We start from the raw sequence: 12,251 nt of genomic DNA, 5'->3' as shown, positions 1-12,251 counted from the left end.
CTGGGATTACAGGTGTCCTCCACTATGCCCAGCTAATTTTTTGTATTTTTAGTAGATAACAGGGTCTCACCATATTGGCCAGGCTGGTCTCGAATTCCTGACCTCATGATTCACCGGCCTTGGCCTCCCAAAGTGCTGGGATTACATGCATGAGCCACTGTGCCTGGCCGAGTTTAAGAATTCTAGTGGGGGTTCATTCAGGCCATGATAGAATTTGGAGAATCATCTCTGTAGGGCAATGAAGCATACCTTTTGCTTGTAGAAATACTCATGTCTACTAGGTGCAGCGTTTCCTTTTGATGAAAAGGGTTGGATAATGACAAATTCTTGTCATTTGACTCTTCTTCAAGACTTGATGGAGACTACTTCCGGTATATTTTGAGGACTCTTTGTCTATTAAATGGTAACTTCGTTTGGATTGGTTACATTTAGTCAACTTGAGATTTAGCACATACTCTAACTTCCACAGTATTGCTTTGGGAAGTTAATATTTCCGGGAAGCTGTTTCCTTTTATATTTTTCCTTTTAATGTTTTTGAGATATGAATCACAAAATATAAAATCCACTTTTTGGAAGTGGTTTATAGTATATTCACAAGTTGGTGCGACCATCACCACTGTGTCATTCTAGAACACTTTCACCATTTTTAAAGGAAACCCCATAAAATTAGCAGTCACTCTCCATCCCTCCCCCAACAGGCCCTGGAATCACTCACTTTCTGTCTCTATGGATTTGCCTATTCTGGATATATCACATAAATGGGACCACACAATACGTGCTCTTTAGCATTTGGTGTTTTTCAATTAGCATCATGTTCAGTCCTCTTTATGGCCGAACAATATTCCATTGTATGAATAGATCACATTTTGTTTATTGATTCTTCAGCTGATGGATATTTGCGTCGTTTCCACCATCTGGCTATTATGAACAATGCTGCTATGAACATTCACACACAAGTTGTCGTGTGGACATTTGCTTTTATTTCTTTTGGGCATATACCTAAGGGGTGAAATTGCTGGGTCACGTGGTAACTCTATGCTTAACTTTTTTAGAAACCACCAGCCTGTTTTCCAAAGTGGCTGCACCGTTTTATGTTTCTACCAGCAATGCACAAAGATTCCAGTTTTTCCGTGTCCTGGCTAACACTTATTATTTTCTGTTTTTTTTTTTAATTTTGTTTTGGTTGTGGCTTTTATTTGCATTTTCATTCTAAATGTTGTGGCTCTAGGGAAGCTTCAAATCACAGAACCCAAATTCTGACCACTGATGTGAGAATGTTAACTAAGTAGAGCCTATCAAAGTCTTTTCTGAAGTTTTTTTTTTTTTCAAAATTGGGACTATATAGAGAAAGGAGGTCTTCTTCTTGGGCTGTGAATCTGGAAAGAGAAGAGTCTGGACTTAAGGGTATAGTTTACTGGAGAAAGCTAGCATAAAAAAGTGAAGTCAACATATCAGGAAAAGCAAAGAGAAGAAAAAGGAGAAAGAGATGGAGGAAGAGGAAGGGAAGAAAAATGAGGAGAAGGAGGAAAAGAAGAATAATGAGGCCGGGCGCTATGGCTCACACCTATAATCCCAGCACTTTAGAGGCTGAGGCAGGCAGATCACCTGAGGTCAGGAGTTCGAGACCAGCCTGGCCAACATGGTGAAACCCTGTCTCTATTGAAAATACAACAAAAAATGGCCGGGTGTGGTGACGCATGCCTGTAGTCCCAGCTACTCAGGAGGCTGAGGTGGGAGGGTCACTTGAACCCGGGAGGCAGAGGCCGCAGTGAGCTGAGATTGCTCTACTGCACTCCAGCCTGGGCAACAGAGAGAGACTCTGTCTCAAAAAAAAAAAAAAAAAAAAAGCCAGGCACAGTGGCTTAGGCCTGTAATCCTAGCACTTTGGGAGGCTGAGGTGGGCAGATCACCTGAGGTCAGGAGTTCAAGACCAGACTGACCAACATGGAGAAACCCCATCTCTACTAAAAATACAAAATTAGCTGGGCGTGGTGGCACATGCCTGTAATTCCAGCTACTCGGGAGGCCGAGGCAGGAGAATCGCTTGAACCCGGGAGGCAGAGGTTGCAGTGAGCCGAGATCGCGCCATTGCACTCCAGCCTGGGCAACAAGAGTGAAATTCCATCTCAAAAATAATAATAATAATAATAATAATAATAATAATAATAATAATAATAATGAGATAAGTGGAGGGGGCAGGGGAGAGGAGTTGGAAGACAAGGGGGCAATTGCTTTCTTTCCATAGTGTGAAGCTGGACGAGCAGGAGCTCCTAGCGGGTGGGGAGTGGTAAATGTGGTCCTTCATCGGAGCTAGATCAGGAATTGGGAAGGAAAGACCCTGGGTGCTGCCAGGCATACGTCAATCCCTTGGGGTTAGAGTTTAGGTGTGGCGAGAGAAGAGGGGGACTAGGGTCCTGAGCGTAGCTACTTACAACAAGGCTCCGAGCTCTGTACTTAGATAACAACCACGTTTGATAATAACAATCTGTTCATATATTCTTTACCAGCTGAATCTAACCGTGACAGAACCTCAAACGAATCTAAATTAAGGGAACTTTCTACAAAATAACAAGCCTGTACTCTTCAAAAATGTCAGTGTCATAAAAGATAAAGAAAGGCTCAGCAACGATTCCAGATGGAAAAGACCAAAGGGACAGAACCACTAAATGCATTGCGTGATTATGGATTGAGTCATCAGTTAAGGAAAATTTTGCCATAAAAGGCATTATTGGGACAACTGACAAAATTTGAATTTGTTTCTTGATTTTTGTAATCATCTCATGGTTATGTTCAAGCATGTACTTACGTTCATGTATTTGAGAGAAAAGGAACGTGATATTTACAGATTACTGTCAACTGGTTCAGAGAGAGAGAAAGGGAAAATGATAAAGGTAACGTGCTAAAACATTAACAATGGTGAATCTGGGTAAAATGTATGTAGGAGTTCTTTGTACTTTTTTCTGCAGATTTTCTCTAAGTTTGAAATTATATCAAAATAAAAGGTTAAAAAAATAATATTGGCAGGGCATGATGCTCGTTCCTGTTATCCCAGCACTTTGGGACCGAGGCGGGTGGATCGCTTGAGGCCAGGAGTTCGAGACCAGTCTGGCCAACATGGCGAAACCCCGTCTCTATTACAAATACAAAAATTAGCCGGGTGTGGTGGAACATACTTGTAAACCCAGCTACTTGGGAGGGTGAGCCAGAAGAATCACTTGAACCTGGGAGGTGGAGGTTGCAGTGAGCCGTGATTACACCACTGCACTCCAGCCTGGGCAACATAGCAAGACACTCTCTCAAATATAAAAATGATAATAATAATATTTAGGGAGGACCTAGTATGTGCCAGTCATTGCTCTAAACACTTGAGCACTGAATATCTGCTTATTTTAAAAATTGTAGGCCGGGCGCGGTGGCTCACGCCTGTAATCCCAGCACTTTGGGAGGCCGAGGCGGGCGGATCACGAGGTCAGGAGATCGAGACCATCCCGGCTAAAACGGTGAAACCCCGTCTCTACTAAAAATACAAAAAATTAGCCGGGCGTAGTGGCGGGCGCCTGTAGCCCCAGCTACTTGGGAGGCTGAGGCAGGAGAATGGCGTGAACCCGGGAGGCGGAGCTTGCAGTGAGCGGAGATCCCGCCACTGCACTCCAGCCTGGGCGACAGAGCGAGACTCCGTCTCAAAAAAAAAAAAAAAAAAAAAAAAAAAAATTGTAGTCCAAGTGTTTTGCTTAAAATGCCTTTTCAGACTTTTAATTTTTTTTTTTTTGAGACAGGGTCTCACTCCATTACTCTGTGTAACAAACACACTTTGATGTTACAATGTTTTGCCTTCAAGGGGTTTACATTCTAGTAGGGGAAGGAAGAATACATGAAATAAGGAAAATATATTGTAGATTGGATGGTGAGGCAGGAAATGCAGGAAAATAAGCAGGGTAGGAGGATAAGAAATTCCAGAGTGAGGTGTTTGCAATTTTTCTTTTTCTTTTCTTTTCTTTTTTTTTGACACAGAGTCTCATTCTCTTGCCCAGGCTGGAGTGCAATGGCGTGATCTCAGCTCCCTGAAACCTCTGCCTCCCAGGTTCAAGTAATTCTCCTGCCTCAGCCTCTCAAGTAGCTGGGATTACAGACGCCCACCACAATGCCCAGCTGACTCTTTGTATTGTTAGCAGAGACAGGGTTTTGCCACATTGGCCAGACTGGTCTTGAATTCCTGACCTCAGATGATCTGCCCACCTTGGCCTCCCAAAATGCTGAGATTACAGGCATGAGCCACCACACCCAGCCAATGTTTGCAATTTTAAACAGGTGGTGGGCTGGATGCCTCTTTTGTATGCTTCAGACCTCAGCCTCACCTGTCACTTATTGCAGACATAAATAAGGCAAACAGTTGACTCTGAGCAGCTTGACATTAGGTGCAACCTGTGAGCACCCCATGCCTTTCGGCTCCCGTCTCAGGGCTCTTCTGGAGATGACAAGGTGTGGGCCACACCTCTCAGTGCTGTTGCCTGTGCAACCCAGAAGTGCAGGTCACCTAACACCTCCCTGAGGCTAACCTGTGGCCAGTGTGTGACAGGAGCTGACATGCCTCTTCCTTCCTCCTCCCATCTCCCTATACATGGAGGGTATTTTGAAAGGTTTCTCCATGGGTCCTGTGGGACCAGTCGCCCCCTTCCTAATGCCACCTCACAACCTTGGTAGGCTCTCCCATCTCCCCTGCACTACTCTCCTTCTCCCTCCCTTCTGGTCCCTCTCATGAACTCACACATAAGCATTTGACTCAGATTCTGTTTTCTGGGGAACCTAAGCTAAAACAGTTGGCAGTTAAGAGCTCATCAAGAAGAATACCTTTGAAATGGAGATTTATTGAGCATTTAAAACAATCCAGTGGGATGGGTTCCATTATTATTATCTCTTTTCATTGTTAAGGAACTGAGTTTTGGGGAGATGATATAACTTGCCCAAGATCAGGCAGTGTAGAAGGGGCAGAACGCAGTTAGTCTGATTCCTGCTTATTCTCCAAGCCTGTGCTCTCTCAGCCTCCTATCTCTCCTCGTATTTATTAACGCCATTTTGAAAGTGCCAGTGTCTATCAGCCAGGGCAACGGAAACTTAAGAAAGGGTTTTTATTGTCAACGTTGGGGTCTCGGTGTTAAGAGATTAATAACTGGGGTCATGGGACTGGTGATACTATTCTTACTGTATCAGTCAGAACAGGCTAGGTTTTGCTGCTCTAACAGACAGCCACAATGTTTCAGTGGCAAAAAATAAGACTTAGTTCTTGCCATTGCTACATTTCCACTGCCAGACAATGGGGGGTTTCTGCTTCACACTGTTTTGTAATCCAGGCTGATGGAGCAGCCACCGCCAGGATCATGGCTGGTTGTCCTGGCAGAGGAATGAAAGGGTGCTCCACACGGTCTCACACCAGCAACTTAGTGCTCTGCTCTGCACAGAAGTTATAAATGCCACATTCTGTCATGACTTGTTAGCCTGGATTACCCCACCCAACCCAAGGGGGCGAGGAAGCAATCCCATCATATGTCTGGAAGGCAGAAAGCCAGAAATAATCTGTTGAGCAGCACAGATGACTGTCACACCCCCTGGGAAAACCCCAAGGGGAAATGAAACTCAGGCGACAGAGGCAAATTCTCCATGGTCAACATCTTGTCCTTGTACAGAACATCTCTTAGATTTGAAGGAGACAGAGTATCTCTCAGATTAGTGTGTGTTTATGCATATATATATATATATATATATATATATATATATACACATATGTCATTTTTTTTTTTGAGACAGGGTCTCACTCTGTCACCTAGACTGGAGTGCAGTGGCAGCATCTCAGCTCACCACAACCTCCATCTCCTAGGCTCAAGCAATTCTCCTGCTTTAGCCTTTCAAGTAGCTGGGATCATAGGCACTTGCCACCATGCCTGGCTAATCTTTATATTTTTAGTAGGGATGGAGTTTCACCATGTTGGCCAGGCTGGTCTTGAGCTCCTGACCTCAAATGATCCATTTGCCTGGCCTCCCAAAGTGCTGGGATTACAGGTGTGAGCCACCATGTCCGGCCATAAATGTACTTTTTAACTGAATATTTGCTTATTTTAAAAATTGTCGTCCAAGTGTTTTGCTTAAAATGCCTTTTCAGACTTTTATTTTATTTTTTGAGACAGGGTCTTACTCTGTCACCCAGGCTGGAGTGCAGTGGTGCGATCTTGGTTTACCACAATCTCCACCTCCTGAGTTCAAGGGATTCTTGTGCCTCAGCTTCCCAAGTAGCTGGGATTGCAGGCTTGCACCACCATACCTGGCTAATATTTGTATTTTTGGTAGAGACTGGGTTTCACCATGTCGGCGAGGCTGGTCTCGAACTCCTGGCCCCAAGTAATCCACCTGTCTTGGCCTCCCAAAGTGTTGGGATTACAGGTGTGGCCCTCCATGCCCGGCTTAGACTTTTAATTATTTTTTTAGGAAGGGTGGCAATAACTCCAAGATTGAAAACAGGCTTGATCACTGCCTAAATAAATGTTGACATTCTTTTTAACCTCAACATAGTTATGTCTTAATAATAGTTTTTTTTCATGTACCCCCTGTTTACTACAAGACACAGTTTACACATTACCTGAATAAGAACACAATGTAAAAGGGTCACCACTAGCCATTATCTGTACTGTCAAATGCTGGCTTAAGTCTGTCCACCAGTGCAAATTTTGTTATGTTTTAGTCCACTGACATCATGAATATGATAAGAGGGTTCTTGTATTGACTTGTTTCTTTGCTCTAGATTTTGTAACTTCAGAAAAGGTGAACCCTAAAATTTTATTTGTCAAAAAAAGTATATTTGCTATTCTCTGAGAAATGCCTTGATACTGGTATGACACGTATGTCTGAAATTGGCCATTCTTCAGCTGGACTGCATCCTCCCAGGTGAACGATGATAACATCATATTGGGATCTTTATTGAAGAGAATAGAGTATAGCTTTTGCCTTCTTCTTGTCAGCATTTTGCCTGATATGTTGTTATAGAAGGAAATTCACTTGCTCCTGCAGAGTTTGCTTCTTTCAAAGCTCTGCTAGTTGCCCTTGAGTACTTTAGATTTTGTTCCTCTGGTTACTTGGAAGGGAATTATTTCATAGTTTATCTTAGTATCTCCCAGATAGCAAAGTTAAATGGATGATATGTAATCACCACAGCTGTCTTTTATTTTTCCACTTTAAAAGTGCCCCCTTCCCAGTCTTAGGCACTATGGATCCTCCAGAAATGCCACCAAATTCCACAGTGACCTTATAATATATACCAGTCCTCCCCTTAAGCTGCTTGTTGCCAGATAGTGAAAATACGAACAAAGTCATGTGTAACAAAACCTAAGAAAAGCACTAACGGCCAAGAGACACATGTATTGAGTCTTTGCCTGAAGACCAACAGGGTTAGGGGATTATAAAAAATGATGATTAACCCACAGTTACCCTGGATTGGGAAGGGACCAGCAATCTCACTCTAAATTCAATCATTCATTGTTGTCTGTCGATCGTTTGTTGAATACTTACCATGGACTGTATTTTGAAGTTATGAATGGGCAGGTAAATGACACAGTCAGATTTAAATTTTAGGAAAATCGTGCTGTTAGTAGTGGGAGCACAGCTATGTATGACCCAGAGGAGCAGATTGGAGATACGAAAAAATCTGTAGCAATCCAAACATGAAGCGATAAGAGATTAAATTAAAACAGTGGTAGTGGGGCTGATGGGGAGGAAACACATTCAAGAGCTATCTGGGGATAGGATTTACACGTGCTGACTTGTTGGATGTGGGCAGAGATGAGAAGGAGGCACTAGAGGGTGTCCAGGTAGTTATTCATTGGTGCCTTTCATTGAGAGAGTGAATACTTTCCTTGAGGAAGGGTGGTGTGTGTGGTGTTAAGTTAGTAGTGAAGGTATTGCTGAAAGGGATATGATGAATTAATTACGTTGTCCTGGAGGTCAAAGAAAATTTCACTTATTTATTTATTTTTGAGACAGAGTCTCACTCTGTCACCCAGGCTGGAGTGTAGTGGCACAATCTTGGCTCACTGCAACCTTCACCTCCTGCCAGGTTCAAGTGATTCTCCTGCCTCAGCCTCCTGAGTAGCTGGGACTTCAGGCATGCATCACCACACCCGGCTAATTTTTATGTTTTTAGTAGAGACAGGGTTTCACCATGTTGGCCAGGCTGGTCTTGAACTCATGACCTTGAATGACCTGCCCGCCTCAGCCTCCCAAAGTGCTGGGAATACAGGCGTGAGCCACTGTGCTTGGCCAAACATAATTTTTAATGGCCTATTTTGTTTTTTTTGAGACAGGGTCTTGCTCTGTTGCCCAGGCTGTAGTGTGGTGGTGTAGCCGTGGCTTACTACAGCCTCCACCTCCTGGGTTCGAGTGATCCTCTCACCTCAGCCTCCTGAGTAGCTGGGACTATGGGTATGTGCCACCATGCCTGGCTAATTTTTTATTTTTATTTTTGCAGAGACCAGGTTTCACCAGGTTGCCCAGGCTGGTCTCGAACTACTGGACTCAAGTGATCCTCTAGCCTTGGCCTCCCAAAGTGCTGGGATTACAGGCATGAGCCACTGCACCTGGCCTTTAATTCCATTAAATGGGCTACTTTAATTTAACGAATACTTTATTGACAGGTAGGTTGCTTCCAATTTTTTATATTGTAAACAAGGATGTGGCAAACAGAACTATCAGAGCTCTTTGGGCTTTTTGGTATTATGTGCTTAGAAAATACTCCTAGAAACTAAATTACCAAATCGAAGTACTTACATTATAAAGTCTAGTTCATATTATCAAAATGCTCTTTAAATTCTACCAATTTACACTCCTGTTAGTAATGTATGGTAGTGCCTGTTTCACCACATTTTGGGTGTTAATTGGTCTTTCAAAAAATAATTAATGCACTTTATTAACTTTCTTTTTAAAATGTTACTGTGGTAAGAACTCTTAACATGCTACCTACCCTTTTGGCAGATTTTCATATGCATGATACAGGCACATGGCTAACCAATTTATTAAATCTTTGCTATATGACAGGTGAATAATTATATTCCACTGGCCTCCACTGAGATTCATTTGATTATTTATGAAGCTGAACAGATGTTTATCACTTTATTTCTATTTCTCATGAACTTCCTTGTCATGGACTTTGGTGGCTGTCTGGTTTTCTTTTGGAGTTTTTAAAGCAAAACAATATATTAAGACAGGACAACAACAATTATTACTGTTATTATTATTATTATTATTATTATTATTATTATTATTATTTTGAGACAGAGTCTCCCTCCATTGCCCAGGCTGGAGTGCAGGGGCGCGATCTGGGCTCACTGCAACCTGTGCCTCCCAGGTTCAAGCAATTCTCCTGCATCAGCTTCCTGAGGAGCTGGGATTACAGGTGCCCACCACCACACCTGGGTAATTCTTGTATTTTTAGTAGAGACAGGGTTTCACTATATTGGCCAGGCTGGTCTTGAACTCCTGACCTTGTGATCTGCCCTCCTTGGTCTCCCAAAGTGATGGGATTACAGGCGTGAGCCACCGCGCCCGGCCAACATTTTTTCATAGAACATACTATAGACTTCCCATTGGTGTATAGGAATAATATACTAATAAATATACAAATGTATTTATATGTTGCTGTAGAATCTAGTACAGTGATTTTTTCCACAGTCTGGCTAAACAAGCTCATTTATTAAAGGAAATGAGTCTTTCAAGGGTAGGTCGATTTCAGTGATTATAGAGTTAACCTGGGTCAATAAATCTAGCTTATTTCTGTGGAAATTTTATAGTATGGTCTAAGAATCTTATATACACATGAGAGCTAAAATCATAAAACTTTTTAGAAGAAAACATAGGGGTAAATATTAATGAACTTGGATTTTACAATAGATCTTTAGATATAACGCTAAAAGCACACAACAAGAGAAAAAAATAGATAAATTGGACTTCATCAAAATGGAAACTTTTGTACACCAAAGGACATGATCAATAAAGTGAAAAGACAACCTAGAGAATGGGAGAAAATATTTGCAGATCATATATCTGATAAGGGTCAGAATATGTAAAGAATTTTTACAACTCAACAAAGAAGACAAACAACCCACTTCAAAAATGGGCGAAGGACTTGAATAGACATTTCTCCAAAGAAGATATTCAAATGGCCAATAAGCACATGAAAAGATACCCAACATTACTAGTCATTAGGGAGATGCAAATCAAAACCACAAGGTACCACTTCACACTCACAAGGATGGCTATAATCACAAAAACAGAAAATAACAAGTGGTGGTGGGGAGGTGGAGAAATTGGAACACTTGTGCACTGTTGGTGGGAATGTAAAATGGCACAGCACTGTGGGAACAGCTTGGCGCTTCCTCAACAAGTTATATATAGAATTACCATATGATCCTGCAATTCCACTCTTCAACATATACCCAAAATGACTGGAAAACAGGTCCTCGAAAAAAAAATACATGTACACTTACGTTCATAGCAGCACTATTCACAGTAACCAAAGGGTGGACCCTCAACTGTCCATCAACAGAAAAATAAACAATTGTGTTGTATACAAACAATGGAATATGATTCAGCCATGAAAAGAAATGAAGTATGTATACAAGTTGTCATATGCGTGAGCCTCGGAAATGTTATGCTCAGTGAAAGAAGACTGACACAAAAGGTCAGATATTGCATGATTCCAATTATATGAAATATTCGGGGTGAATCCAAAGAGACAGAAAACAGTGAGGGTTGCCAGGAACCGGAAGATGGAAAATGGAGAATAAATGCTTAATGGCTATGCGGTTTTCTTTTGGGGTGATGAAAATATTTTGGAACTAGATAGAGGTGGTGGTTGTACAACATTATGGATGTACTAAATGCTACCGTAGGGTTCACTTGAAAAACGGTTGATTTTATTTTATGTGAATTTCACCTTAATAACAGCAACAAAATCTTACGTGAATGAGTCATCAGGGGCAAGACATACTGACATACTTTTAATGCTCAGCTATCAGATAATTTCAACAACAAAATGAATAAATACTGATTCTCAGCTAAACTGCCAAAATGAAGACGGCAGAAAGCAGTGTTATCCAAAGCGTAAGATGTGTTCTACTGATGGTAGATAAGATGGCAAAGCTTTAAATAACCTTGCCTCACATAGTGAGAAATTTAATTTTTCAGAGGTTTTTTTCACCCTTTAGTTCTTGTGAATATATCAGTGAGTCTTAATCTGCAGTTAGGGTGTTCGCTGTTAGTACAAGTAACATCTCTAACACATGCTAATCACATCTTTGAAGAAAGAGGAGCAGGCTTCAGGCTCAGAGCCCTTTACTAACTGGTTTTAATATCACCGTTTGGATTTCAGTGTGTTCATTTTTACTTTTATCTTCCATTTATGTAGCAAAACAGTTTTGTGAGTTGCATTATACTTTATGATGCAAAATTTCCTCTTTATTTACATAGAAATGTGAGTCAACTTAGAAAGAAAGAAAAACAATAAACAATAATATCAATGGTTATGAAGATTTGGGGGGGAAAGTGGAACCCGGATGATTAAATAGGACACACTGACATAAAAAAAAGTACACCCTAGATTTGAGATATAAGGTTCTAAGTCTCTTGCCAGCCTTGCAACTTTGAGCTACAGTTTCTGCCTGCCTGCAGAGATTTTATGGAAAGTGCTATACAAGTGTAAATTACTATTATTATGAAATGACTATTTGTTTAGGGTGTTATGTGTATCACAGAGGCTGGGAGGCCTGGAGCTGCATTTCCCAGAGTCTCCTGCCAGCACAGTTCTGATAAGGTTTAGGTTGTGCCAATGAGGTGCACTCAAGGATTTGAAAGACGCAAGGAGCATGTCATTCTTTCTGTGACAGTGGCAGCTGACACAAGGGGTTTGACAAATATAAACTTTTTTTTTTTTTTTTGAGACAGAGTCTTGCTTTGTTGCACAGGCTGGAGTGCAGTGGCGCAATCTTGGCTCACTGCAACCTCTGCCTACCGCGTTCAAGCAATTCTCCTGCCTCAGCCTCCTGAGTAGCTGGGACTATAGGCACATGCTGCCACGCCTGGCTAATTTTTTGTATTTTAGTAGAGACAGGGTTTCATCATGTTGCCCAGGCTGGTCGCGAACTTCTGAGCTCAGGCAATCCACCCACCTTAGCCTCCCAAAGTGTTGGGATTACAGGCACGAACCACCGAGCCTG

Source organism: Homo sapiens, chromosome 10 (assembly GCF_000001405.40).
Source record: "Homo sapiens chromosome 10, GRCh38.p14 Primary Assembly".
NCBI lineage: Eukaryota > Metazoa > Chordata > Mammalia > Primates > Hominidae > Homo > Homo sapiens.
This window is presented reverse-complemented; position numbering follows the sequence as displayed.